This window comes from Homo sapiens, chromosome 7, assembly GCF_000001405.40.
Source record: "Homo sapiens chromosome 7, GRCh38.p14 Primary Assembly".
NCBI classification, from domain to species: Eukaryota; Metazoa; Chordata; class Mammalia; order Primates; family Hominidae; genus Homo; species Homo sapiens.
This window is the reverse complement of record NC_000007.14, coordinates 128,385,035-128,412,323: the sequence shown is the minus strand read 5'-3', so window position 1 is coordinate 128,412,323 and position 27,289 is coordinate 128,385,035. Positions and strand designations below refer to the sequence as shown.

At 55.4% G+C, this 27,289-nt stretch overlaps 1 protein-coding gene and 1 long non-coding RNA gene across 17 annotated transcripts, besides 11 other annotated features; one reads left to right on the top strand and one right to left on the bottom strand.

Annotated features, from left to right (window-relative positions):
* Window positions 1,686-1,925: an enhancer, noted in NCBI's record as "active region_26598". NCBI's record gives its function as "activates an Ori minimal core promoter by ATAC-STARR-seq in GM12878 lymphoblastoid cells {active_cell/tissue: GM12878}" and the evidence as "EXISTENCE:reporter gene assay evidence [ECO:0000049][PMID:35858748]".
* Window positions 2,196-2,815: a silencer, noted in NCBI's record as "silent region_18606". NCBI's record gives its function as "represses an Ori minimal core promoter by ATAC-STARR-seq in GM12878 lymphoblastoid cells {active_cell/tissue: GM12878}" and the evidence as "EXISTENCE:reporter gene assay evidence [ECO:0000049][PMID:35858748]".
* On the top strand, window positions 2,342-20,047 carry IMPDH1 (inosine monophosphate dehydrogenase 1). Of its 15 annotated transcripts, none has more exons than XM_024446755.1 (17): window positions 2,342-2,568; window positions 2,958-3,035; window positions 6,459-6,557; window positions 8,570-8,618; window positions 11,208-11,309; window positions 11,433-11,507; window positions 11,785-11,991; window positions 12,142-12,229; window positions 13,711-13,910; window positions 15,302-15,392; window positions 15,629-15,724; window positions 17,050-17,193; window positions 17,291-17,435; window positions 17,725-17,868; window positions 17,963-18,046; window positions 18,586-18,602; window positions 19,296-20,047. In XM_024446755.1, the coding sequence occupies exons 1-17, from the start codon at window positions 2,423-2,425 to the stop codon at window positions 19,394-19,396; spliced, it is 1,866 nt and encodes a 621-aa protein (XP_024302523.1). In that variant the 5' UTR covers window positions 2,342-2,422; the 3' UTR covers window positions 19,397-20,047. The 15 variants fall into 15 exon arrangements, with proteins under 15 accessions (XP_024302523.1, NP_000874.2, XP_024302526.1 ...); NM_000883.4 differs by lacking the exon at window positions 18,586-18,602 and adding an exon at window positions 2,840-2,883 and having other exon boundaries at window positions 2,972-3,035; XM_024446758.1 differs by having other exon boundaries at window positions 2,840-3,035.
* Window positions 6,024-6,073: a silencer, noted in NCBI's record as "silent region_18605". NCBI's record gives its function as "represses an Ori minimal core promoter by ATAC-STARR-seq in GM12878 lymphoblastoid cells {active_cell/tissue: GM12878}" and the evidence as "EXISTENCE:reporter gene assay evidence [ECO:0000049][PMID:35858748]".
* Window positions 6,094-6,263: a silencer, noted in NCBI's record as "silent region_18604". NCBI's record gives its function as "represses an Ori minimal core promoter by ATAC-STARR-seq in GM12878 lymphoblastoid cells {active_cell/tissue: GM12878}" and the evidence as "EXISTENCE:reporter gene assay evidence [ECO:0000049][PMID:35858748]".
* Window positions 6,094-6,741: a biological region, named in NCBI's record as "H3K27ac-H3K4me1 hESC enhancer GRCh37_chr7:128045637-128046251".
* Window positions 6,127-6,741: an enhancer, noted in NCBI's record as "H3K27ac-H3K4me1 hESC enhancer chr7:128045637-128046251 (GRCh37/hg19 assembly coordinates)". NCBI's record gives its function as "activates a minimal SCP1, AML or CMV promoter by ChIP-STARR-seq in primed H9 embryonic stem cells {active_cell/tissue: H9 hESC(primed)}" and the evidence as "EXISTENCE:reporter gene assay evidence [ECO:0000049][PMID:30033119]".
* Window positions 6,294-6,343: a silencer, noted in NCBI's record as "silent region_18603". NCBI's record gives its function as "represses an Ori minimal core promoter by ATAC-STARR-seq in GM12878 lymphoblastoid cells {active_cell/tissue: GM12878}" and the evidence as "EXISTENCE:reporter gene assay evidence [ECO:0000049][PMID:35858748]".
* Window positions 6,514-6,723: a silencer, noted in NCBI's record as "silent region_18602". NCBI's record gives its function as "represses an Ori minimal core promoter by ATAC-STARR-seq in GM12878 lymphoblastoid cells {active_cell/tissue: GM12878}" and the evidence as "EXISTENCE:reporter gene assay evidence [ECO:0000049][PMID:35858748]".
* Window positions 7,359-7,974: an enhancer, noted in NCBI's record as "H3K4me1 hESC enhancer chr7:128044404-128045019 (GRCh37/hg19 assembly coordinates)". NCBI's record gives its function as "activates a minimal SCP1, AML or CMV promoter by ChIP-STARR-seq in naive H9 embryonic stem cells {active_cell/tissue: H9 hESC(naive)}" and the evidence as "EXISTENCE:reporter gene assay evidence [ECO:0000049][PMID:30033119]".
* Window positions 7,975-8,591: an enhancer, noted in NCBI's record as "H3K4me1 hESC enhancer chr7:128043787-128044403 (GRCh37/hg19 assembly coordinates)". NCBI's record gives its function as "activates a minimal SCP1, AML or CMV promoter by ChIP-STARR-seq in naive and primed H9 embryonic stem cells {active_cell/tissue: H9 hESC(naive and primed)}" and the evidence as "EXISTENCE:reporter gene assay evidence [ECO:0000049][PMID:30033119]".
* LOC107986845 (uncharacterized) lies at window positions 19,977-25,642 on the bottom strand. Of its 2 annotated transcripts, NR_148338.1 has the most exons (3): window positions 25,517-25,642; window positions 24,814-25,197; window positions 19,977-20,423 (listed from the first exon to the last, which is right to left on the bottom strand). It is a non-coding gene; the product is annotated as an uncharacterized LOC107986845 (long non-coding RNA). The 2 variants fall into 2 exon arrangements; NR_148339.1 differs by lacking the exon at window positions 24,814-25,197.
* Window positions 20,452-20,953: an enhancer, noted in NCBI's record as "H3K4me1 hESC enhancer chr7:128031425-128031926 (GRCh37/hg19 assembly coordinates)". NCBI's record gives its function as "activates a minimal SCP1, AML or CMV promoter by ChIP-STARR-seq in naive H9 embryonic stem cells {active_cell/tissue: H9 hESC(naive)}" and the evidence as "EXISTENCE:reporter gene assay evidence [ECO:0000049][PMID:30033119]".
* Window positions 25,643-27,289: the final 1,647 nt, after the last annotated feature.

Below are 27,289 nucleotides of genomic sequence, written 5' to 3'. Positions count from 1 at the left end.
TTGGATTTGGGTTTTCTCCGCAGTTTAACATGTTTACAGACAGTCCTTTAAATTTTAGGCTATAGCTAGTTCTAAGTTTCATCTGTTGAGTAATTGATTGGTTTTGACTAGTTTCTCCTTCAGAGTCTTTATAAACACATATGGGTACCTTATCTGCTTATTTCCAAACAGAAACCTTTGGCTTTAGGGTAGTATTTTTTAAATGGTGAGTCCACAATCTATTGGGCCCCTCACCAAAAAAGGGACAGAATACAAAGTACCAGAGGACACTGAATATAATCAATGAATTAATTTTAGCTTTTTTGTTGTTGTTGAGACAGTCTCACTCTGTCATCCAGGCTAGAGTGCAGTGGCCCGATCTCGCTTCAGTGCAAACCTCGGCCTCCCGGGTTCAAGCTATTCTCATGCCTCAGCCTCCTGAGTAGCTGGGACTACAGGCGTGCACCAACATAGCTGGCAATTTTTTTTTTTTTTTGGAGACAGAGTCTCACTCTGTCACCAGGCTGGAGTGCAGTGTGCGATCTCGGCTCACTGCAATCTCCGCCCCCCGGGTTCAAGCGATTCTCCTGCCTCAGCCTCCCAAGTCGCTGGGACTACAGGCGCACACCACCATGCCCAGCTAATTTTTGTGTTTTTAGTAGAGACAAGGTTTCACCATGTTGGCCAGGATGGTCTCAGTCTCTTGACCTCGTGATCCGTCAGCCTCAGCCTCCCAAAGTGCTGGGATTACAGGTGTGAGCCACCGTGCCCAGCCTAATTTTGTATTTTTTAGTAGACATGGAGTTTCGCCATGTTGGCCAGGCTGGTCTGGAACTCCTGACCTCAGGTGATCTGACCGCCTCAGCCTCCCGAAGTGTTGAGATTACAGGCATAAGCCACTGCGCCCAACCTAAATTTTAAAAAACTTAAATAAAAAAAGAATCCTGATTCTGGGGAGTGGGTGTGTATGTGCATAGGAAGAGGCACGATGAAGGATAAAGTCCAAGATCTTACTGTTGCATAAATTCAGCTTCCTTTGTGAAATCGTTGCTGAAAGTCTGACCCCTAATACATCTTAGCACTCCTCAATCACGCAGTGTTTACCATTTGTTCCCTCAGACTTGTCAGACAAAAGTCCAGATGCGCCGGGCGCGGTGGCTCACGCCTGTAATCCCAGCATTTTGGGAGGCCGAGGCGGGCGGATCACAAGGTCAGAAGATCGAGACCATCCTGGCTAACACGGTGAAACCCCGTCTGTACTAAAAATACAAAAAATTAGCTGGGCGTGGTGGCGGGCGCCTGTAGTCCCAGCTACTCTGGAGGCTGCGCCAGGAGAATGGCGTGAACCCGGGAGGCGGAGCTTGCAGTGAGCCGAGATCGCGCCACTGCACTCCAGCCTGGGCGACAGAGCGAGACTCCGTCTCAAATAAAATAAAAAATAAATAACATAACATAAAATAAAATAAAATAAAATTTCCAGATTCTTCTCGACTTAAAGATGGGGCTACCTCAGGGTAAATCCATCTGTAAGGTTGAAAAATCTTAAGTCAACCATTGTAAGTCGAGGACCATCTGTATATGGCATGAGAATTATCAGCTGTTTATTTTCATCTACTTTGTCTCCTGAAATAAATTGCCTGAGGGCAAGGACTCTTACATTTCTTTGCCATTTTTGCTAGGTGTTCAATCACCGTTCACAATGATAACAGTAGGAAAAAGTGCGCCTTCTAGTAAGTGGACAAACAAGTTTGAGTACACTGCTCTGCCCCACTCCCTTGTTACGGGGTAACATAACAAGGTAAAGTACCTCCACAACGAGGCAAGACTAGGTCCTGTTCCTTAAGGAGCCCGCAGCCTTGTCTGTTCTGTTCGTTCCCTGGCAGATTACAGGCTGTGGAGATCCCTCTCCCCGCTCTCTAACGTGGAGTCGGCTGAGCACGACTCTCTCGCCCCAGCGCGGGAGGTCTGCGGTCTGCGGGTATGAGGCGCTCCAGGGGACCTGGCATCGTCGGCGTGCAAGAGAGGAGCGGACCTGAGACGCAAGGAGAAGCCCTGCCTCTGGAGTCCAGCTCCTTTCCTCTTCTGGTTTTCCTCGGAAGGGGCCAGGAGACACTGGAAGGTCCGGACGGCAGGGAAGGGGACGGGGTTCTTTCCAGTCCCACCCGTGTAGGGACACCTCTCCCCCTCATCCCCCGATGTACCCTCGCTGAATCTGGGATGGGAGAGACGAACCGAGTCTAGGCATCTGCGTAGCAGCGCCGGGGAGAGCGGGGAGCCCAGGGCGGAGCCCAGTCGACTCCCGGATTCCCCTGCCCCGCCCCCGGCACGAGGCCCCGCCCCGGCGGCCCCGCCCCTCCTCGGGACTCGACCGGGCTGCGCTCACTGCCCAGCCGGGGCCCCGGGAGCCTCCAGGCTCCCGCCCGCCCTGAGCTGCGGCCTCCGCATGGAGGGGCCACTCACTCCACCACCGCTGCAGGGAGGCGGAGCCGCCGCTGTTCCGGAGCCCGGAGCCCGGCAACACCCGGGACACGAGACGGCGGCGCAGCGGTACAGCGCCCGACTGCTGCAGGCCGGCTACGAGCCCGAGAGGTGACGCCCAGGGCAGAGCGCGCGGGGCGCATCCGGGGCGGGCGGCCGAGGAGGGCGCGGCGGCTCCGGGAACCCGGCGACGCTGCGGGGGAGGGGCAGGCCCCACAAACCCTTCCCCTATTACCGCCTCAGCCTCTAACTTCCCGAAACGCCACGCTCCCGGCTTTGGTTGGGGGATGCAGACGGGCACTGTGCGAAGGGTTAGGTGCTTCGTTGCACGGGGGAGCGGAGGAGAGGGAACAGGTCGTAAAAACCTTCCCTAAAATCTTAGCCCTAGATTGGACCTCGCTACACACCCGACGACACCCCGTTCAGGTGGCTCCAACTCCTGGGGTTCAAACAGTGCTTGCTGGAGTCCTGTCCGACTGACTTGGCTTACCCCTCCTTAGCTGTTTCCTCCTAGAACTATCTTCAGTGGTCTTACTGGCAGGTGTTGGTGTCCAGATGGATCGCCTTCGCAGGGCTAGGTGAGGACACTCTCCCCTCCTCACCATGCACTGAGATCTGAGAGGCTGCCAGTGCAGCTCACCTCAAGGTCTCTCCGAAGACGCAGGCCCCCATGCTGGGGTCTGTAGGGGAATGAGGGACACTGGAGGAAGAGTAGGGTAGTGAGCTGGGCCCCAGGGGGACTGGCTGAAAAGGAGACAGCAGCTAATCTCTGGATTGTATCGCAGCTTGAAATGCAATCCCACTGTCCTTCCGGTCCAGAGGATTTGGACTTCTTTCTCTGCCCATCTGCTGGTGTTCAGCAGCTTGGGGAGGTGACCTGGCAGCTGGGTTAGATGGGGGTGGTCTGGGGGAATTAGCCCGGCAGCTCTGCCCAGGGGTTGGCCGCTTATGTAAGAACTTTTAACGGCTTAAGGGGCTCCTCGGCAGTGGGGCTGCTGAGTTAGGCCCCCCTGTCCTGGCAGGCTGCCTCTCTAGAATTGACTCAGGCTTAGGCAACTCCCAGCCTTTCTCCTGTCCTAGAAATCCAGCTCCTGGGGTTCAGGCCGCAGGGCGATAGGGAGGGGCCACAGGGGCTGAATGAGCCGGTTGGGGCTTGACAGAGGCAGTGCTTGGTTAGAGTAGGGGTTGCAAACATAATGTTTCAGAGCTCAGGCCGGAGCCATGTGAGTGCATCCTTTCTCCAGATTGCACTTCTGCATCAAGGGGCCATCCCTACCCCCACCCCCAACCGACCCGCACCCCCCACTTGGGCTCAGGGAGCCTGTGTAAACCTGAGCCCCAGCCAGGTGGTGTAGTGAGATTCAAAACCTGCTGGCCAGACCTCCACCTGCCTTCGCCAACCTGGAGCTGTGGGAAGAGGACAGGATTCTGTGAGCAGTCCTGGGTTTGAATCCAGTGTTATTGCTCTCTGGCTTGAACTTGGACAGGCTATGCCCCCGACCCAGCTCAACAGTGCTAATGTTACTACCTTTTCTGCCCTTCCCCCATCTTCCCCTCAAGAGTGTTTTGAAATCTTGTTCCTTCAAATAGCCCCAGGCCTGATAGAGCCCTCGGGGTTCCCTGCCTGGACCTCAGTACCCAGCTGGGCACTGTTGCCCTGCTACCCTGAGGAAGGGGCTTGGACCTGCCTTCCTATCCCCACAGCTGCTAGGTGGGGGTCTCAGGGAACAACAGCCCTTCCTCGGCTTCGGAGGCCGACTGGTTGCCTCGGTGTCTCCTCCCCATGGAGGAAGCAGCTGGGGAAGATCAGGAAGAGGGTGTATGAGAGTGGGGGTTGAGGGTGGATTAGCGGAGTCTCTGGAAAAGCACAGCCTAACCCAGGGCTGAGCCCAGCAGCTTAGAGTGATGAGGAGCCCAACACAGGTTAAAGTGGGAGGTGTGTAGGGGAGCAGGAGAGGGGAGTGGGGCCATGAAGTCTGTAATCACTGGGAAGGTGACCCTCCCCATGCCTCAGCCAGGCAGCCTAAGAAGGCTGGGGCAGATGTCACAGTCAGGTCACCTGAGATGGTAAAATCCAGCTGCTCTCCTGGGCCCTGGCTCTGGTTGAATCCTGAATAGTACTCTAGCCATTCCTAACTCATACTGTAGGGGACAGTGACCCAGAGCAGGTCCTTTAGTGACCCAGTAACCCAGAGAGACCACTGGGCTGGTCTCTGCTGTGTGCCAATCTCTGCTCTGTGCCTGCAGTTGGCATGATAGCTCTGTTCTTCTGTGGCCAGAAAGGTACCCCAGAGCAGCTCTGAATGGTCAGGCACTTTCTGTGGCTGGTCTCACTGCTCTGCTCCACGTGGCCAGTGAAAGGTCCTAGTGCTGGTGCTCCTCAGGACGCTCCCCTGGTCCCCCATGTGGCCCGGGCTCCCTGCATGAGCCCAAGAATGCTGAAGGTTCAGAGGTGCTTCCCACACATCGCTGGCAATCCGGCCCCAGCCTCCCCTCTGCACACAGATGGAACAGTCTGTGTTTTCCTGGCAGGGTCCCGGGGGCATCAATGGGGGAGGCTGGGCATCCCAGGGAACCTCGTGGCTTGGAGGCCAAGCCTCCCCTGGGCCTAGCTGCCATCACACTGCTGAGAAGTAAATAAACCCAGCCTCCCAGGGCCACAGCCAGCCACCAAGCCAGGGAGGGGACTGTGTCCCACACCACCTTATTCTCTTCTCCCCAAGTGAGCTGTGGGAGCCACAGGAGGACACAGGGAGGAGGCTGTGGAGTCTGGGTGGGGGGACCCACTCTTGGTCTGGGAAGAGCACTGGCAGTTCTGGTCCCATAAGAGGGAAGGGGATCTACTTCCTACCACCCCACCTTTCCCCATGTGAACCTATCTGTACCCAGTCACTGCCCCCATGTAGAAATCTGGATCTTGCTGGGCACCCAGGGCCACCAACTTCTGCTTTGGGGATTTTTCAGAAGTTCCCTAGCCCCTGTTCTTATTTGTATGCACACTTGTCTAAGCCAGGCTTATGATCCTCCCCCATCTTCCCACCGCAGGACCCTCCCAAATAACAAACCGCTCTCTGAGATTAAAAGCCCTGGTACCAACACCATTTTCTCAGCCGGAGATAGGGCGGTGAGCCGAAGCACTGGGCCATGAATCAGAAGCAGTACCCCTCCCTTCCTTTCCGAACTATAGATTTTGCCTCTGTCAAGGGAATGGGTACCCAATACTTGTCAATTAATAGATTGTGGAGTTAATGTGCTCATTTATGAAAAATGCTTTGTAAACTGCAGAGGGCCCCAAGGCCACCCAAAGGTCAAGGAGTGTCATTATGAAGAATGCCGGCTCCCTAGGATGTCGGGATGGGGCATAGCGATCCAACCTCAAAGTCCTTAGTGCTGGGTAGCTGAGAGCCCAGACCGGTTTCTCAGGGCTCCGGGCCTTGATCAGGGTCCGCGGAAGAGTATTGGGGATTGGGGAACGGCAGAACCGTGTTAGAGGTGCCCTGGGGAGAAGGGCAAGGTGGGTGGCCCCGGCTGGGGGAGAACTCGGGGGTGGGGGGGGTGGGGGGTGTGGGGGTGTGGGGGGGTGGGGCCTCTGCTGGGGGGTCCTGGGTGGCTGGATGTAGAGCGGCGGAGGGGGCGTGTCCCGGCCTGACCCGGTACTCTCCCCCGCAGCCCCACACCTCCTACCCGGTCCGGGCTTGCGGGGTCGCAGCGCCGCTGCAGGCAGCTGGGGGCGTGCGCGCGGCGCGGCTGAGCCCTTTGTGCGGCGCGGGCGGAGGCGGCGGTTTCCGCGGGAGGGGCGAGAAGGGCGGGAGGGGCGGGAGGACAGGGCGGCGCCCTGGCCCGCCCTGCCGCTGCCGCAGCCCCCGCCCCCGCCCCCGGCCCGCCCGGCCCGCGGCAGCAGCGTGGCCGCGGCGCGGCGTCAGCAGTAGCAGCAGCAGCAGCGGCGGCAGCGGCGGGCGGCCGCGCGGGTGTTTATGTCGGGTCGCGGGGTCTCGCGGCAGCATGGCGGACTACCTGATCAGCGGCGGCACCGGCTACGTGCCCGAGGATGGGCTCACCGCGCAGCAGCTCTTCGCCAGCGCCGACGGCCTCACCTACAAGTAAGCGCCGGGTCTCGTACCCCTAGGTGCGCGCATCCACGCGCCGCGACCCCCGGGCCGGCCCTGCACGTGCGCGGCTCCCCCGGCGTTCCCTGCCCGGTGCGAGTGCCTGCTGTGGGCGCTGGGGGCTGGGCACGGGAAGGAAGGAGGCCCGCGCCGGAGCAGACGGACGTGGCACGGCGACACCGCGGCCCTCAGAGCCCTGACCCGTTTCTGGCCAGATCCGGGTTCGGCCTGTCCCCTTCCTCCTCTCAGCGGCATGGAGGGGCCCTCGGGCGTGTGGGAACTGGAGATGTGGGCATTATGGGGAGACTTTTCCCAGCCGCTGGTCCAGGACGCCCCCTCCCAGCCTCACCACGAGGGCAGAGGGTCCCCGGAGCCAAGCTTAAGCAGCCGCTTCCGCATGGCCCCAGGAGAGGCCCAGCCAGGTGGTTGGGGTGGCTTCTTTTCCAACTGTCTAGTCCAGCGCTTTTTCCAGTTGTGTCCCTCCCTGCCCACAGGTTGGTATTGGTGCCCCTCCCAAGGCGCGAATTATTCTGTGACTGCTACCCCTAAGCCCACCCTACATGGGGTTTTGGAGGAGGACACAGACCCACCCGTCTGCCTCTGGCTTCATTTGCCTTTTCCGTGGTCCCTAGGCCAGTTGCCCTGCGTGCTGCAGGCCTGGCACTAGCTCTGCCTCCTGGCTGCAGGACTGTGCCCCTGCCAGGAAGGAGCATCAGAAGGGGCAGAGTGGGGATGCTGGCCAGTCAAAAGCATCCCTGCCTTGTCTCCTGCCAGCCCTGCCCTGGCTTGTAAGCACTCCTGCTTGGCCAGCAGTTTCCCTAAACACCAGGATACCCAGTCACTCCTGAGGAGTGTCTCCTCCTGCCTGCCCGTAGGCGACGGGTGTATAGAACACCTAGAAAATGCTATGAGGCCCAGACTCCAGCATTTCTTCTGTGGCCTCTTTGCTATACAGAAGAAGGGCTGCCAAAGGCTGGGAGCAGCCGAAATTCTTTGTTTTTTTGGTGGTCTTTGGTGATGAGATTGAAAGCCCACCTTTGATACAGTTGTCATTGAAGTCTTCTAGGAGAACACCCTAGGGGAACGCCTAGGAGTTTCTCTAGGCCTTAGGGCAGATTAATGACCCACCCCCCTCCACCCTGTGGCTTTTCCTTCCTGCGCTAGGGATGCCTGCTGCTTTGCTTAGCTCAGTTCATAGTGTTCCTGAAGTGTGGGATATTTGCTTTTGGGTGTGTCTCTCAAGGCCTGCTGTGATTTTAGCAGGTTGGGGCCCCTGAGCTGTGACCCTGCACCTAGATGTACCCATGCAGGCCTGCACTTCCCTTGCGGAGTTTGCTGTGACCGTGGCCCACCCTAGTGTTGGTAGCTGCCATGCTTTGGCTGGGGACCCAGTGTCCTGGTCCCACCTCTAAGGCCTCTTTCCTCCCCTTTCCCGTCCTGGCCATTTCTGTTCTGCTCTGTCAGAACATGCCCTGCACTCAGCCCCCTGGGGTCCCTCCATGCTGTTCCGAGCCCTGTGTGACTCAGCAGCCCAGGCACCGGGGCATGCGGACTGTCCTGTGCTGGGTCATGTTCATACTGTGTTGAGCGCCACAAAATTGTTCTCAGGTTTGTTCCCAATGTTTACTTATTTTCTCTCCCCATCAAGATTGAGAAGTTTTCAAAGGCAGGCACTGTGTCTGCTGTGTGTGGCGATATGGGAACTTCTGTGTCGCTTGACAAACTCTGAGACTTAAAGGCAATGGATATTTTGGGCCTATTACCTTGATGGTACCCCAGTAGACCTTTCGCTGTCTTTGGCTCTAGCTCTGGGGGCTGGAGTTTGCCAGACTCTAGTGAGGTGCACGAGGTGGGAACTGCCCTGATGGGGCAGTAGGGATGGGGGGCTGTAGCCTCTGCTCCTCTAGGCTTTTCTGTACCCCCCTGCTGCCTCCTCTGGCATGGCAGGCTCTGCCCCTTTGGGGCACCCCTCCCCACTAATAACACTCACTTCTCTGTCTTCACAGCGACTTCCTGATTCTCCCAGGATTCATAGACTTCATAGCTGATGAGGTGGTGAGTACCTCTTCCTTTGACAAGGGGAGGGGGCTGTGTATGTGGTGGAAGAGGCTGACTTCTTGCTCAGGGGCAGGGCATGGAGAGATGGAGAGACTTTTCTTGGGAATGGGTGGATAGGATATAGTCCTTTTTTTTTTTTTTTTTGGAGACAGAGTCTTGCTCTGTCACACAGGCTGGAGTGCAGTGGTGTGATCTCAGCTCACTGCAGCCTCCACCTCCCAGATTCAAGTGATTCTCCTGCCTCAGCCTCCTGAGTAACTGGGATTACAGGCACATGCCAAAACCCCCCGATAATTTTTGTGTTTTTAGTGGAGACGGGGTTTCACCATGTTGGCCAGGCTGGTCTCAAACTCCTGAGCTCAAGTGATCCGTCCGCCTCAGCCTCCGAAGACGCTGTGATTACAGGGGTGATTCCACCCAGCTGGTATGGGTGGATATAGCCTTTATTGTTGCCAGAGAAACAGGCAGAGATCAAAGGGTTATACCTGATGGGGCAGAGGCAGCTATGGGAACACAGGAGTGTCCTGAGTGAGGCCTGGCCCAGGGCTGGGTGGCTCTCTGTCAGTGACAGAGCCTGTGGGCAGGTTCAGAAGAGGCCTGGGAAGGGGTGGGCTTGGGAGTGGGAACGGTGGGCTTGGGAGTGGCTGCCTTATTGTAGAGACCATAAGGATTGGATTTTGTCTGGAATGCTGAACAAGGACATGATAGAAGCCAGTGAAATTATGGAGATTTGAAACCGGTAGACAGACTTGTTCACTGATCCACAATGTACAAGAACTGGCAAGAGGGTTTAAAAGAGTTACATTTTGGATAAATACAAGGAAACGCAGTGCCTTGCTTTCCCAGAGGGGCTCATCAGTGAGCCGAATCAATGAACAATTAACATATGATAAACTCAGAGAAGCCCAGATGGGTAGTGATGATGGTGTAAGTCATTTCAAGAAAAAGTGCCATGATTCAATGATGAATTCATATACATTAAAAAAAAAACATTTCTTTTCTGTTGCTATTATTATTGCTATTTATTCTGGTCTGATTCTCATGAAAGGCCAGAGGGCCTGAGTGTGCCTGGATCACTTACATGTGAGGGAAGTTCACATCCAGCTGGTGTTTAGCCAGAGCTGACCCAGACAGATTTTCAGGGGGAAATTCGAATGATTCTGGTTGTTTCCCTTATGACAACAACCAGGAAGCCTGCTTGGTGCAGCTGTTCAGTTTAACAAAGTTTACTGGCCAGTGTGGCTTTGTGTCAGACCCTGGGCTGGCTGCTAGGAAGGGAGGGATTGAAAAGACCCCTACCAGCTGGGCGTGGTGGCTCATGCCTGTAATCCCAGCATTTTGGGAGGCTGAGGCAGGAGGATCACCTGAGGTCAGGAGTTTGAGACCAGCCTGGCCAACATGGTGAAACCCCATCTCTACTAAAAATGCAAAAATTAGCTGGGCATTGTGGCGGGCATCTGTAATCCCAGCTACTCGGGAGGCTGAGGCAGGAGAATCACTTGAATCTGGGAGGCGGAGGTTGCAGTGAGTCGGGATTGCACTACTGTACTCTAGCCTGGGTGACAGAATGAGGCTCCATCAGAGAGAGAAAAAAAAAAAAACCCTGCCTGGCCGGCAAGGATCTCCTTGTCCTGTGGCTTCTGTCAGGAAGGCTGTGGCCCTTCTGTGGCATGACAAAAGAGAAGATGGTGTTTTCTAGATCATGGGGCCAGAGGTCTGAACTAGGGTTAGTGATGGGTTTCAGGGACTTTGAATCTAAAAAAATTACATAGCAAAGTCTGCACAAATGTCTTGGGGACTGGGATCCACTACTGTTGGCCTGACCCTCAGAGGGGTATGTGCTCTGGCCTTTCCTCCATGGGCAGGTGGCTTTTAAATGGATACTTGCAATCCTGACCACTCTCCTGAGCTCCAGACCATTCGTTGCTTGCTTTCCTGGATGCCTAAAAGACTCTTTTCCATGCCTACCCCCACCTCAGCCCTTGTCACCCAGAATCCATTCTCCACCTTGGAGCCTGAGTGACCTTTTTGAAACATAAATCAGATCATTTCTCTGTCAAGACCCTCCAGTGGCTTCTCTCCGAATCAAATCTGAGCTTCTGTCCGTGGTCTTCACGGCCATGCATGCTGCCCCTGCCTTCCTCCTGCCTCTCCCTTCCCTCCACTCCCCTGGCCTTCTTTTTCTTTCTTAAGTGTGCCTCCGAAAGAACTGGACCCTGAGGCGGGTTTGCACTCAGTCCCTCAGCCGAGAGTGACAGCCCCTCTGACTTCTACTTAATCGGCTCCCACTGGTCACCTCCCAGGAAAGAGGCTTTCCCCAGTCACCTTGTTGCCAGTGGTCGCTTGGCCTTTTTGTTTTTCTCTGCAGCCTTCATCCTGACTGAAGTCATCTTGAGCATATGTCCTGTGTCTGTCATTTTTCTTTCCAAGTAGAACATAAGCTCCATTAGATGAGCTGGGAACTCATCCACCTTGTTCACTGCCATGTCCCCAGGGCCTGTCCTGGTGCCGGTGCATGTAGGAGCTCAGTGAGTGAGTGTCCAGTGGGTGATAAACTCTTTACGTGGGCTGTGCCTCCATCCTCAGGACCTGACCTCAGCCCTGACCCGGAAGATCACGCTGAAGACGCCACTGATCTCCTCCCCCATGGACACTGTGACAGAGGCTGACATGGCCATTGCCATGGCTGTGAGTTACACACCTGCATGGGGACTCCAGGGCACACAGGAACTGACCATGGTGGGCTGTGCTGAGGGGCAGGGCTGAGGAGGAATGGGCCCCGGCTCTGACCACACTTCCCTTCTACATCAGCTGATGGGAGGTATTGGTTTCATTCACCACAACTGCACCCCAGAGTTCCAGGCCAACGAGGTGCGGAAGGTCAAGGCAAGTACCAGGCCTGTCCCCAGCAAGATGCCACCTGGCAGTCCCCACCTCAGAGGCCCTCCCAGCCTCCCCTGCCAGCCCTGCACTGCTACACTCCCTGCGTGTCCTTCCTCTCAGTGGAGCCTTGGGGCCGAGCCCTCATTTTCCCACTGGCTCCTCATCCCACTGAGGGTCCTGGCTTCTCTGCAGCACAGCTGCATCCTCTGTTCCCTGTGGCCAGCCTGGACATCATCCCTGGCTTTCTTCCAGCCTTTTCCTCCCCCATCTCTGCCCGCAGAAGTTTGAACAGGGCTTCATCACGGACCCTGTGGTGCTGAGCCCCTCGCACACTGTGGGCGATGTGCTGGAGGCCAAGATGCGGCATGGCTTCTCTGGCATCCCCATCACTGAGACGGGCACCATGGGCAGCAAGCTGGTGGGCATCGTCACCTCCCGAGACATCGACTTTCTTGCTGAGAAGGACCACACCACCCTCCTCAGTGAGGTACCTGCAGGGCAGGGGAAGCAGGGCTGGGTGTAGAGAGGACCCTCACGCTGGGGCCTCAGACTGGTGCCTGTGACCAGGGACCAGAGGGAGGCCTGGCTCCTTCTCTCTCACCTGCCAACCTGCAGGCAAATGTTCCTGGCCCCACAGGTGATGACGCCAAGGATTGAACTGGTGGTGGCTCCAGCAGGTGTGACGTTGAAAGAGGCAAATGAGATCCTGCAGCGTAGCAAGAAAGGTACCAGGGAGCTAGTTGAAAACTCAACCCCCAGCCTGACTCCCTGTCCACAGTCCCGTTGTTCCTTCACAGCCTTACAGGTTATCCCAGCAACCAGACTGAGCCCTGGGGAAGGTTCGAATAACCTCAGGCAGGCCAGAGCACAACTCCTGCCATCCTTCTCTTAGCTTAGGGAAGCTTGCCCCTAGTGCAGCATCTTCATAGTATGTTTCCCAAAACTAGTCCTATGCGATGCTCATCAGAAAAAAATCCTGAGCAATAACTCCTTTCTCTATCCCCTATCTTGCATAAAGAATTGCACATTCACTTATTAAAGGCTCTCAGAAGTCCTGCAGTTAAATTTATTTGACACTAGAGCTGTTTTTATAATATTTTCCAGCTAGAAACAACTTTAGCTTTTTTTTTTTTGAGACAGAGTCTCACTTTCTCACCCAGGCTGGAGTACAGTGGCGCAATGTCAGCTCACTGCAACCCTCGCCTCCTGGGTTCAAGCAATTCTCATGCCTCAGCCTTCTGAGTAGCCAGGATTACAGGCATGTGCTACTATACCAGCTAATTTTTTTTTTTTTTTTGTATTTTTAGTAGAGATGGGGTTTCACCATGTTGGCCAGGCTGGTCTTGAACTCCTGGCCTCAAGTGATCTGCCCTCCTGGGCCTCCCAAAGTGCTGGAATTACAGGCGTGAACCACCATGCCCTGCCACAACTTTGGCTTCTATTTATTTATTTTTGAGACAGAGTCTTGCTCTCTCATCCAGGCTGGAGTGCAGTGGTGTGATCTTGGCTCACTGCAATCTCTGCCTCCTGGGTTCAAGCAAGTCTCCTACCTCAGCCTCCCGAGTAGTTGGGACAACAGGCACACACCAACACACCCAGGTAATTTTTTTGTATTTTTAGTAGAGATGGGGTTTCACCATATTGGCCGGGCTGTTCTTGAACTCCTGGCCTCAAGTGATCCACCTGCCTCGGCCTCCCAAAGTGAGGAAGCTGTGAGCCACCACACCCGGCCAACTTTCGCTTGTTAGAAAAAAAAAGGAAAAATTAAATATTCACCAGGTCCCTGTTGGCTATACTGGGAAATGCTTCCCTGGTCCATACTGGAGGGTTCTTTGGTGTCTGTATTGGACAGGGCACATGCTTCTCCCTGCAGGACAGCATCACTCCTGGCTAGGAGATTTCGGCCACTGTGGCCCAGCAGGTGAAAGGCTGCCAGTGCTCGGGCTGCCCATCCCAGGCCACGGGGATGCCCATCCACAGACCCCCAGGAACCTGCTGGGCTGAAAGATTTCTTTGCTCCCTGTTCCTTGGGAAGAGGGCTAGGTCCCTAGGAACACTTCCTGGGGGCGGTGCTGTCACCTAGTGGCTGACTGGGGTACTTCAGTGGAATCTCTGGAGTGGTCCACTTTCATCTTCACCCTCCTAAACATCTCCCAAACTTCTCCCCACCAAGCCTGCTTCATTTCACCCCTGCATTCCTTGTCAGGGAAGCTGCCTATCGTCAATGATTGCGATGAGCTGGTGGCCATCATCGCCCGCACCGACCTGAAGAAGAACCGAGACTACCCTCTGGCCTCCAAGGATTCCCAGAAGCAGCTGCTCTGTGGGGCAGCTGTGGGCACCCGTGAGGATGACAAATACCGTCTGGACCTGCTCACCCAGGCGGGCGTCGACGTCATAGTCTTGGTAAGGCCCCCGCCTGAGTGGTGGGGGAGATGGATGAGTGGTTCAGCAGAGTGGAGGTTTATGAGGACCCAGGTTCACCTCTGATTAAGCCTGTGCCCCTCCCTTGCTACTCTTCCTCTCTCTTTCTGAGTGCTCCCTGGTGTCAGAATTAGGAGGGTGGCAGCAGGATTGCCTGAGCTCAGAGGTTCAAGGTCACAGTGAGCTAGGATCGTGCCACTGCACTCCAGCCCTGGGGACAGAACGAGACCCTTTCTCAAAAAACAAACAATGGTTTGTGTCATCTGAGATACAAAGAAAGAAAACAAACAAGTTAAAATTCTCCAGTGGCACAGCCATAAGAAAGAATGAAATCCTGTCCTTTGCAGCAACATGGACAGAGCTAGAAGCCATTATCCTTAGTGAACTAACTCCAAAGCAGAAAACCAAATACTGCATGCCCTCACTTATAAGTAGGAGCTAAACAGAGAGTACACATGTTCATAAAGATGGAAATAATAGACGCTGGGGACTCCAAAATGGGAGAGGGTGGGAGGGGAACGAAGGATGAAAAATTGGCTATCAGACACAGTTTTCGATATGTGGGTATTAGGTACACTTGAAGCCCAATTCTCACCAGTATGCAGTATTCCATTTAAGCAACAAGCACATGTACCCACTGAATCCTTAAAAAAAAAATTGACAAATTGTTGCAAGCAACAATTGCAAATCAAGACTCTCCCCCACCCCCCGATAAAGGGAGGTAGAATAAAGATAAAGGCTTATTGATCCCTTGTGAGTGATCTGGACCATACATCTAGATTCATCTGTATTCTATAACTAGGAGGAAGAGAAATTAGGAAGGTCACTGGCACCCTCTCAACAGCTCACAACAGACTGCAAACAAAGGCCTCTGAGGGCCTTCTTGGCTCATAAGTTGACCCTGATAATTTAGCTCACGTTTACTGAGAACCGCCTGTTTGCCAGGCACTGCGTCAAGACCTTAATGTATATCAGTCCATTGAGGAACAGTCGCCATTCCATTTTCAGATGAAGAAACAGGCTTAAAGAAGTTAAGTCATTTCATTTGGTTAGTGAGTTGGTGGGAACAGGATATGGCTCCAGGCAGTGTCTCCTTGCTTTAAGGATCAGTCTGTACAATGGATAGGAAAGGCCTTATGTACTCTAAGACTGCATTAGTTGTGGTTAACCTTTCAGGGAAGCAGTCCCCTTTGAGAATTGACTGAAAGTTGTCAAGTGAATTTCCAGAAAAAAAAAAAAAAAAACAACCAGAAGGAAAGAGCATTCTCATAACAGTTTTCATAGGATTTGAGGGGTTCATCCACTCAGGCTCTCCCTCCTGCCTTGAGAATCCTCAGCTGTCTAAGCCCAAGCTCTTCCGTCCTTTCTCACAGGACTCGTCCCAAGGGAATTCGGTGTATCAGATCGCCATGGTGCATTACATCAAACAGAAGTACCCCCACCTCCAGGTGATTGGGGGGAACGGTGAGTGCGGGGTCGCCTCCCACCCGCCTGCTCCTGCCCCTCCAATGAGTAACCCTTTTCTGTCCTTCAGCATCCCTAGGTGATGGTATGGCTCCTGGCATGGGTGGCAGGGAGCATGATGGGCTTTGGTCACTGTAGGGGGGTTGGGGGGTGCTAGACTGGGGTCCCAAGAGGCTGTTGGGCAGGCAGGGGCATCCCATCCTCACATTGTTCCTCTGCCCCATCCCCACCCCCAGTGGTGACAGCAGCCCAGGCCAAGAACCTGATTGATGCTGGTGTGGACGGGCTGCGCGTGGGCATGGGCTGCGGCTCCATCTGCATCACCCAGGAAGGTGGGTGTCAGGAGGTGAGCGAGTGCCCGCTGGCCCCGGGGCCTCGCCTTTGTTCCCCAGATGTATATCAAGTACTCTCTCTGCCAGGCCCTGTTCTGCCATGGTAGGCTCCGGGGTGACCCAGGCATGGGCCCCACCCCATCGGGCCCACTGACTTAGGGGAAGGCAGGTGTAAGCAGGGTGCAAGAGCTGCAGCCTGCTTCTCAGAGTGCGGTCAAGGGGGCTCTGCCTGGGGCTTGGGGCCTGGGGCTGGTGTGACTGTCCATGGGGCTTGTTGGAACCTCAGGGTTTGGATTTGATTTGTGACAAGGCAGATATTTAAGACACAGAGACGACATGTCCCTGAATATATAAAGATATGTTATACACCTGCTTCACCATGTGGTTGGGCGTGGGGAGTTCCACCCAATTACAAAGCCCTTTTGCAGGGTGGGTTCCTGAACATGAAGTGGGAAGGGGGGAGCCTGGCATGTGTCCCCCATGTGGTTATTGAGGAGGTGCTCCCTGGAGGCTGGTATCTGACTTGTGGGGTGGCTGCCTGGAAGACTTGGGTCCTCACTTGGCCTGAGGAGATGTACCCGGCCCCTCCTGTGAGGGCAATTTCTCCAAAACACTGAGTGATGCATTTGGCCTTTCCTACCCCAAACAGCTCCCCCTTTTGGTCCTCAGAGCCTCTGCTATTTAGGTTTGTGCCCTTCGCCTTAGGTGGCCACCATGGTGAAATGAGGGCCCTCTCTCACCCACTTAACAAATATTCATTAGGCACCTACTTGTCTCAGGCACTGTTCAAAGCTTTGAGGTAGAGTAGGGACAAAACAAATGAGAGGCGCCATCTCTGGTTTATCCAGCTTTGCATCCGTCCCTAGACAGGTGTGGTTCCTTGTAGTCCCCACCTAAAACCTAACACTGAAGGACCTTGGACACTTAGACTTGAAGAAATGCAAACCAGTATCCCAAAGGGGACCATAGTACCTAACCCTGGTAACGGTTTTTGCAAACAAAAGCCTTGAAGGGGAACTTGTGCCTTGAGAGCAGGTGAGGCTGGGGCCACCTGTCTGGGGGCATTGGGCTCTGAAGGCCGCTTCTGGTTCCCCCGTCAGAATCCCCTGTCATGCTCTTAGGGGTGGGGTGGCCCAGATCCCTAGAGTGACACTCATCCTGGTGGTATTTGCCAGCACCTATGTTATGCCTCAGACACACCATCCAGCCCTGTCCCTTTTCCTGAGTAGAGGTAGTGCACAGGAGGAAGAGCTGGGCTGGCCCCGCTCCAGGCCCCGGAGTTGCTGTTGACTCTTCTCTGCCTTGTGCACCCCACCCTCCCCCAGTGATGGCCTGTGGTCGGCCCCAGGGCACTGCTGTGTACAAGGTGGCTGAGTATGCCCGGCGCTTTGGTGTGCCCATCATAGCCGATGGCGGCATCCAGACCGTGGGACACGTGGTCAAGGCCCTGGCCCTTGGAGCCTCCACAGGTGAGGGGAGAATGTGCTGGGGATTGGGCAGGCGAGGGCTGGAAGCTGGGGGGGTGGCACTAGTGGGCTGGAGGCACTAATCCCTTGCCCACTGTAGTGATGATGGGCTCCCTGCTGGCCGCCACTACGGAGGCCCCTGGCGAGTACTTCTTCTCAGACGGGGTGCGGCTCAAGAAGTACCGGGGCATGGGCTCACTGGATGCCATGGAGAAGAGCAGCAGCAGCCAGAAACGATACTTCAGGTTCCCTGACCCTGGGCCCCACCTGGGCAGATCAGCCCACAACCCTTCAGGGCCCGCTCATGCCACCGACTTCCCCAGATGGCAGCCAGTCCCCATATGGTGGTTCTGGAAACTGAGGCACAGGGCTTAAGTAGCAGACCCAGGATCTGTCCCTGGGCCATCTGACTCAGCCCAGTGAGGGGTGGCCTGGGGGACCTTCCTGGGCGGTATCCCGTTTTTGCCCTTAAGAGGTGGGGTGGGGTCCTCTGAGCTTCAAGCTGCTGGGCTCAGTCTTCCACCCTCCACGCAGCGAGGGGGATAAAGTGAAGATCGCGCAGGGTGTCTCGGGCTCCATCCAGGACAAAGGATCCATTCAGAAGTTCGTGCCCTACCTCATAGCAGGCATCCAACACGGCTGCCAGGATATCGGGGCCCGCAGCCTGTCTGTCCTTCGGTGAGTGCTGAGACTGGGGGTGGCTCCTGCTTCCTTTCTCTCGCTCTTCTCCACCCTTGGTGGCCCTGATCTGCTCCACCTACCTTCCTCCTAGGTCCATGATGTACTCAGGAGAGCTCAAGTTTGAGAAGCGGACCATGTCGGCCCAGATTGAGGGTGGTGTCCATGGCCTGCACTCGTAAGTGTGGTGGCCTCCTTGCTGTCACTTGGAGGCAGTGGGTTGGGCAGGTGGGGCCAGGGTTCTGAGGTCAAGCTGAGGTTCCAGGGACCCCATGGACCACCTGCAGCAGGGACAGATGCTGCTGCAGGATGGCCCCTCACCCTCTCTTCGGGGGCCCAGCCCCCTGTTCCTTGTCCTTTAGTCCCCATGCAAGCAGGCCCTCCCCTCCCCTCGGGCCTCTCCCGAGCAGGGCACAGGAGGTGTGGCCAGTCACTGCACCTGGACTCCCAGCCCTTGCTTGCTCAGGAAGCTTGGTGGCTGGTGGCAGGGGCTGTGGTGGCACCAGGCAGCCAGGCAGAAGATGCGGGTGTGACCCCTCTGGCGGGTACAAGGGCAGAGAGATGGACGCCAGGGCCAGCGCTGGGGCAACCGTGGGCGGGGGCAGTGCTCGTTGGCAGCAGTAGTTGCAGGCATGTGCCCCACCCTGGTCAGGAGCCCTGTCCCCAGGTATCAGCGGGCGTCTAACCTGTGTCTCTTTCCGCCCCACCCTTCCGTAGCTATACCTTTCTGCCGTGTAAGTAACCGCGCTGCCCGGGCCAAGCGTAGAGTAGAGCAGGGGCAGTCTGGGTGGGACCTGGGCTGGAGGTGGGGGTGGGTATTGGGTGGGGGTAGGAGGGTGCTGGGGTGTAACCATGAGATGTGGACCCTGGGTTTGGGCCCCCCCGGCCCCCTAACTCCAACACCATGATGGAGGAAACCAGCAGTGTCCCCTCATCCAGCTGAAACACATATCCCTTTCTGGCTGCAGAGAGATGCCCGTGACCTCAGGCCTAAGGCTGCCCCATTTTAGACTGGACCCAGTGACCACAAGCAGCCTAGGCCACTGTGCCTGCAGGGCTGGGGCTGGGTGCGGACATGGGCAGCAGAGGTTCGGCTCCAGGTTGGAGTTTGCTCCATGAGGATGGGCCATGCCTGCCTGAGCTGTCCCTCCACCCTGGGCACTGAGGACATCCACTCAGATGTGGCGATGGCCCAAAGGAGCATGGCCATCTCTGCACCCAGCATGGTTCTTCAGGGAATGCTGGCCTGGGGGAGGACAGAGGCCTAGGGCCTGCTCCAGGCCCTCCTCCTGCGCCGTACGGCTGAGATCTCAGGGCTTCTCAGCTCTCTGTTCTCTCCTACATCTGGGGGCCCTGGGGAAAGGGTTTTGGGAAGGAGCAGGGTCCACACACCCACTCTTGTTCCCCCTCTTGCCTTGTCCCCACAGTTACGAAAAGCGGCTGTACTGAGGACAGCGGTGGAGGCCGAGGTGGTGGAGGGGATGCACCCCAGTGTCCACTTTTGGGCACAGCCTCCCTCCATAACTGAGTGGTCCACAGATTTGCACTACGGGTTCTCCAGCTCCTTTCCAGGCAGAGAGGAGGGGAGGTCCTGAGGGGACTGCTGCCCCTCACTCGGCATCCCCTGCAGAGTCAGGACTGCTCCCGGGGCCAGGCTGCCCTGGGAGCCCCCCTCCGAGCCCAGCCAGCCAGGCTCTCAGGCCCTGCGCCTGCCTCAGGTCTTTCTTGCTGCAGCCTGCTCCAGCCTGGCCCCCACCCCAGGGGCAGGCGGCCCCTCCTGGCTTCTCCTGTAGGGCACCTCCCTGCCCCTAGCCTCCCAGGAAATGGTGCTCTCCTGGCCCTGCCTCTGGCCCTTCCCGGGCCGCTGCCCCTCAGCCATGTGGCACTTCTGAGCTCCTGACCTAGGCCAAGGGGAGGTCTCTGCCCCCTTCCCCGGCCCTGGGCTACCCTTGGGTCCTGCTCCTCAGGCCGCTCCCCTGTCCCTGGCCATGGGTAGGAGACTGCCCTGGTCATGGCCGCCTGCCTGTCATTCCTGACTCACCACCGTCCCCAGGTGAACCATTCCTCCCTTCTCCTCAGCTGCAGTCGAAGGCTTTAACTTTGCACACTTGGGATCACAGTTGCGTCATTGTGTATTAAATACTTGGAATAAATCAAGCAGGTCTCAACGCCTCCACTATCCTGTCTGTATGCCCTGTCCATTGGGTGGCTGGAGCCCCATCAGAGTTGGGCTGGGGGGTATGGCACCAGGCCCTGCCTCCCCAGGAAGGTTTGAGGGTGTTGAGGTACTGGGGGTGGGGTGGGGGTGTGCTGGTGCAGGTGGGCCCCATGTCAGGAGGTCTCCCAGGCTTCACCTACTGCAAGCCACTCAGCAACTCCTGCAGCCAGGCAGCATTGTTGAGGGGTCATCATGGCTGTAGAATTCCAGCATCGGGGCCTCACACCCAGCTGCCGGAAAACGCCCTCCGCAGCCTCATCATGCCACATGGTGCAGCCAGGGCACAGGTGGAAGTACAGCATGGCCAGCGCCTGTGGTCTCATCTGCCGAAACACACCTGTAGGTACAAAGCAGAGTGGGTCAGCTCCCACTGTTTGTATGTGGCTCAGGACCTGCCTCCCAGCCTCAACCCCGGCTGGTGGAGACAGTACTGTCACGTGGGCTGCTGAATACCCCTAGAGTTGAGGGGTTTTGGAACATTCACATTGCCTTCCTGTGCCTCTGTTGTTGGGCAGTGGGCACAAAGCTGTCCATCAAAGGTACAGATACCACTCAAGTGGGCAGAGGCACGGAAGATGGCCAGGGGATGCTCAGGTGGCGGGAATGAGCAGACCAAGGAGAAGATCTGGATACACTCCTATGGCTAAGGGAGGGGCCCCTCAGCTCCCTGCTGCCATGCCATGCTAATACCTGCCTTCTCCCAGGCCCCTTCTGCCAAAGAGCTACTTGCTCAGGGGCCAGCCTTTCACTGCATCATTTTTTAGCTTTGTGCTTCTAGGGACAAAAAGGAAAGAGCTGGACAGCAGGACTATCAGGTGGGCTCAGAGCTGGTTCAACATCTGCTCCAGGAGTTCTTGCAAAGTGAATGGGTCATTGACAGTCCTGGGAGGCCTTGTGCCCTGGAATCTGGCCTTGATGAGCACCTGAGTCAGAGGTGACCCAGCGGGGAGGGAGGACAATGCCCAGGTCCCAGGGGATGGTTGAAGATGAGAGGGGATGGATCAAAACATGGTTTCATGGTTTGTCTTGTTTCATGGTTTGTCTTGTGCATTGGTTTACAAAAGTCATGCAGGAAGCACCTTGACCAGCTGTTGAGATGGGAAAGATCTAAGGGTTTTCAGATAAATGCCAAGTCACTCTGAATCAAGAGCGTGAGTGGTTCAAAGGGAGAAGTTCCGTTTTGAACTAAACCTAGTTGGTTAATAGAGCTGACCAATGGATGAATTACCTTGTAAGTCAGTGATCTCCACCTTAAGGTATGGTAGCATTAGTATGGCCCTTCTAGAGGAGGTTTTAGCACAGTGGCTCTGCAAGTTTGGTGCATGTCAGAATCACCTGGAGAGCTAATAACAAGTCCTAGGCTTGCCATAGTAGGATGGGGTCTGAGCCTCTGGGTTGCTACTCAGCCGCTCAATTCTGATACGTTCTAAAGTTAGAGAATTACTGTTTTAGAGGAATTCCATGCATCTAGTTATATGGTCTGAGACTTGCCACAGTACGCGTCCTAAGAAAAGCAGATGACATAGCACCCACCTCCAGGCTTCATTGCAAGGATTATGTGAGAACGAACGAGGAAGGTTACAGGTGCTCAGTAAATGAGTCTTTTTTTTTTTTTTTTTGAGATAGAATCTCCCTCTGTCACCCAGGCTGGAGGGCAGTGGCACAATCTAGGTTCATTGCAACCTTCACCTCCCGGGTTCAAGCGATTCTCCTGCCTCAGCCTCCGGAGTAGCTGAGACTACAGGTGCCCACGACCACGCCCAGCTAATTTTTGTATTTTTAGTGGAGATAGGGTTTCACCATGTTGGCTAGGCTGGTCTTGAACTCCGGACCTCAGGTGATCCGCCCGCCTCGGCCTCCCAAAGTGCTGGGATTACAGGCATGAGTAAATGAGTCTTACTGTGTCCTATGGGCCCTCCCCTTGCCTGGGTAATAAACGCATGTAAGTCTGGACTCAGGAAACACACTTACTGTGAGATGCAAATTCAGCCACAGTGCAGGAGGCTTAAGTGGGACAAAGGGAGAGACACTCTGGGTAGGAAGGCCACAGCAGGTGGATATTCAGAGGCAGCCCAGAGCCACATTTGGGAGAAATGCAGATCAGAGATGCCTTGGTCAGCAGTACTACCTGCCCCCCTGAGGTCCAGCCAGGTCTGTGCAGCACAGGTACCCCCTCACCCCTCCCTGGCACACACCCAGCACCATGTGATCCAGGCTGCTCACCACCAGATTGTGGAAGATGTGGCCCCACAGGCGCTGAACCACGCTGCTGTGGTGACCCAGGTTCCAGCTCATGGGCAGCGGCATCTGCGCAAAGGTGTAGCCACCCAGGGAGAGGGTGCACTGCCAGCGTGCAACCAGCCAGTGCCCCAGGGTCCTTGCAGCAACATTAGCATTCAGGCAGCCTGCACCAGGCCACTGCAAAAGAAATGGCTCAGTGCACTCTCCCAGCCAGCGCGTCAAAGCTGCAGGCCAGGTGGAGCTGCAGGGACTTAGCCTAGGCAGCTGGCTTCGCCCCCAGCCAGGGCAGGAACAGGAGCAGCAGGTAGAGCCAGGGGACTGGGAGGCCTGGGCTTCAGTGCAGGCATGTGGAGCAGGAGAGTCAAGTTACTCTCACAGGGGGTAGCAGTGGGGCCATCTCTGGTGCCCCCTGGGGGACCAAGAGGAGGAGGAGTGGGTGGCCCTCACCTCTGGCCTCACTGTCTCCCAGGCTCCAAGGACTGCGAACAGGGCCCTCAGATGGCATGACCCAATCATTCAGGGGGACTGGACTAGCCCTCTGAGGCTCCTTTCAGCTTCTGTGGCTCCAGTGCCAGTCAGGAAGTGGCAGTCAGTGTGGAGGGGAGGCAGGGGCAGTGCCCCAGCTGTGAGGCACTCAGCTCCCCTCAGTCTCTCCTTCCACCTCTCTCCTCACATCTGGAGTCAGGGCTGGAGAGGAAGGACCCAGCCATTGGGACGTGGTGGGTTGGGGGAGGTAGCTCCTCCCTCTCCCCTTCCTTGGAGCTTTTTATTCTTTCAGGATCCCTTCTGGCTTGTAAGGGTCACATTCCAACCTCAGCCTCTTTGACCCCACTATAGCCTGACACTCAGACTCAGCTAATCAGGAGGTTGGGGGGCCAACCCTGCCCACCTCACCTTACCCCTGAAGCCCTCCTGCTTCCTGCTGAGGAGAGTTTGGAGGCAGGGAACCTGGACAGAGGGCAGCGGCCAGGTTGGAGCCTCCAGCCACATGCAGCCTCTTCTAGGCCAGAGCACCCAGCCCCACCTCTCACATCTATTGTCCTCAGGGCATGGCTTCTCACTTGCAGGGTGCAGGCATCATCATCACCAGCCTCCTCCTTGCTTACCCTTCTGGCTCAGCTCAGGAGGGAAAACAGGTGGGTTTAGGGACCCAGGAGACCTGGTCCCCAGCCTCCTGCTCCACCTGCTCTTAAGCCCATTGACAACATCAGCTTCTGGGCTGAGGGCCAGGGTGTCAGCTTCCAAGTCAACTTTGCCCCCCATCCCCACCCCAGCCCAGCTAGAATTGGAGAGGGGACATCTGGATAGCAAGATGTGGTATTAGCCTGGAACAGGTAAAGAGCAGCCTTTTGCTCACTCTGTGCCTCAGTTTCTCTACTTGTGATCCTAAAAGGGAAAGAGGCACACCCCCACCCCCAGGCATCCCAACCTCAGATATTTCACTTCCCCCTTCACCTTTCAGGGCAGGCTGATCTCAGGGTGGCCAAGCCCAGGGTCTGCCTTGGGTGGGTATTGAACTCAGGAATCCTAGTCTCATAGTAGGCACCTTTCTGCTTCTCCCTCTTCTGCCAGTGGGCAGGACGATCTGAGGCTCCAAGGGGTTCACCTGGCAACTGTCAGGTGGGTAGGAAGGTTCTCCCAGAGAAGAAAAGGGGACTCCGGTCTAGGAGCAGTGGGAGTTGAGTGGTTCCCCAGGAGGGGATGTTGCACCAGGACCTTGGGGTGACCGACATGTCACTCTCCTACCTCAACTTTAACCTCTTCATTTCCATGCCTCCCTCCCTGTGGAAAGGCAGATAGTGGGAAACAAAGTTTCCAAGTGGATGGCAAGCCTCAGGAAAGCAATTAAGGGAGAGACTTTCTTGGACCTCAGGCTACCAGGAGTCCTGCTTCCCTGTCCTCTTTCTTTCTGTGTAGAGAAAGACATCGCTCCCACCCTCCACAGTACTTCAACTCCTTCCCATGCCTCTAATCTCTGGGAAAGCCTGGCGGCAAAAGGAGCAAAGAGCTTTTATGTGGAGATGTCGTGGGGGAGAATGGGCAGGGGAAGAGGAGTGTTCCCTGCTACAGGCTGTGGGACTCCGGGTCTAGGAGCTTCAGAAGCAGTGTGGTACTGTGTCCGGCAGATGGCGCCAAGACCCATCGACCGTTGGGACCCCAGGGAACCCGGAGTGGGGCAGTTTCCTAGGCAACAAGCAGCCCTTCCTTTCAAAGTCCGGCCCTTGGCAACCATTCCCTGGTTGCCTGCATCCGTAGTAAAATTTGGCTTCCAAAGGACAGGCGGGGCTTGCGGGTAAACTAATCTCATCTCCGAGAAAGGAAAGAGGCTGGCTAGGTGGGGAGAGGAGCCTAAAAGACCTGTTTTCTGCCGCCGTTCATTACTATGCTGTACAAGGTGCATCTTATCCTCAGCAACCCTATAGCAGTAATGCCTGTTCCTTTATGATGAATGGGACAACGAGACTCGGAGAGAGAAAGTGACTTGCCCGAGTCGCCAGCAGGTAGGGCCTGGGCCTGCCTGGATGTCCTTGGGTCCATTCCATTCTTTCTCCCAGCAGCTGTGAAGTGTCCAAGCCCTGTGAGGGCGCTGATGGAGAGGCTTGCGAGGAAGCCAGGAGCTGCAGGAGTGGCTGGAGAGAGGCGAGAATGAATCCAGCCCCTTCCAGCTGAGCTCTTTCCTTGCTTGGCCTGGTGGGGGGAGACTCCTCTGCTCAGGGTCTCCCCTGACCTCGTGGTGGGGGCTTCTCCTGGCAAAGGACCACAGAGGGACAGGGAATAGCAGTTCAGACTGTGGAGGTCATGTGGCCCCTCTGCAGTTTCAGGACAGGGGAGCTTGCCAAGGAGGACACAAAGCTGGAATCCAGGACTACCTGGGGAGAGGAGATGCAGGAAAGGATTCCATTCCAGGGACTGTGCAGAGGAGAAAACCGACTTCAAGTAGGTCAAGGGACAGATTTGGAGGATTCAAATCCAGTTCAATTACCTACTCTCTACTCCCTTGAGCTCTCCTCTCCCTGCCTACTCCACATCTCACACTGACCATAACCAATGCTGAATTTCGGACTCCCTGTAGTAGTCTGGGTTCTCCAGAGAAACAGAACAAATCATACAATATTTTTCTAAAAAAAAAATGCATGTGTTTGTGGAGAGACAGAGAGAGAGACAGACTGTTATAAAGAATTGGCTCACATCATTGTGGAGGCTGACAAGTCCCAAGACCTGCAGTTGCCAAGCTGGAGACCCAGGAGAGCCAATGGTGTAGTTCCAGTTCGAGTCCAAAGGCCTGAGAACCAGTAGAGCTGATGGTGTAAGTCCAGAGTCCAAAGGCAGGAGAAGACTGATGTCCCGGCTTGAAGACAGGCAGAAAGAGCAGATTTTCTCTTACTCAGCCTTTTTTGTTCTATTCAAGCCTTCAATGGATTGGATGAGGGCCACCCACATTGGGGAGGGGTGTCTGCTTTATTCAATCAGCTGATTCAAATGTAAATCTCATCCAGAAACACCCTCCCAGACACACTCAGAAATATATTTAAACAAATACCTGGGCACTCTGTGGCCCAGTCAAGTTGACACATATAATTAACATCACACTCCCTGCCACCCTCCCAGACCTGGTCCTCCTTAAATTTACCCTATCTTAAAAACTAGCAAATTCATTCCTCTGGTTGCTCAGATAAACAAAACAAAACAAAAACCCTTGGAGTCATTCTTGACTCCACTTTCTCTCACTATTTATTTATTTACTTATTTAAGAGACAGGGTCTTGCTCTGTCTCCCAGGCTGGAGGGTAGTGGCGCAATCATAGCTCACTGCAGCCTTGACCTCACAGGCTTAAGCAATCCTCCTACCTCAGCCTCCAGAGTAGCTGGGACTACAGACATGCGCTGCCACTTCTAGCTAATTTTTTATTTTTGTAGAGACAGAGTCTCACTTTGTTGCCCAGGCTAGTCTTGAACTCCTGACCTCAAGTGATCCTCCCACCTTGGCCTCCCAAAGTGCTGGGATTACAGGCATGAGCCATCATGCTTGGCACACACTTCATATTTAATCCATCAGCAAATCCCGTTAGCACTGCCTTCAGTCTGACCACTTCCTCCAGTCTCTTCTGCAACAATGCTGCTCCAACCATCACCATCTTCCACCTGGGTTACTGCAAAGGGCTCCAATTTTCCTAGCCCCCACTGTTGCCTCCTTCCAGAATTTTCTCAATACACAGCAGCCAAGGTGATTCTTCTAAAATGTGAGTGAGAGCAGGTTGTTCCTCTGCTTAAAACACTCCACTGGTTTCCCTGGGGTCAAAGTAGAAGTCAGTCTTTGCTGGGGCCTACAGGTCCTTCATGATCAGGCCTCCACTGTCTCAGGCTTTCTCTTGCTTGTCCCCTACCCATACTGTCCTGGTCATGCTGGCCTCCTTGCTGTCCTCCAATGCCAGTGCCCTCCTCTTCACCCCAGGCCCTGTGGCTCACTCCCTCACTTTCTTTGGGTCTCTGCTCAAGGGCATCGTGTTAGACCTTCCCTGAACCCCCTTGCCACCCCGACACACCCTCACTCTCTGACCCCATCCCTGCCCCTCCTGCTTCATTTTTTTCCATAACACAACACAAACATACCCTCTCTTTGTATGCATAGAGCCTGGCCTGTGCGGCGTGTGGCTCCTGCCTATAATCCCAGCACTTTAAGAAGCCAAAGCAGGAGGATGGCTTGAGCCCAGGAGTTCGAGACCAGCCTGGGCAACACAGTGAGACTCTGTCTCTACAAAAAAAAAATAGGCAGGTGTGGTGATGCCAGCCACTCAGCAGGCTGAGGCAGGAGAATCCCTTGAGCTCAGGAATTCAAGACTGCAGTGAGCTCTGATTGTGCCTCTGCAGCCTGGGCAATAGAGCCGGACCCTGACTCTAAAACATAAATAAATATGTGCGGAGTGTTTGTTTTCCCTTATATGTTTTTATCCCCTAAAACACT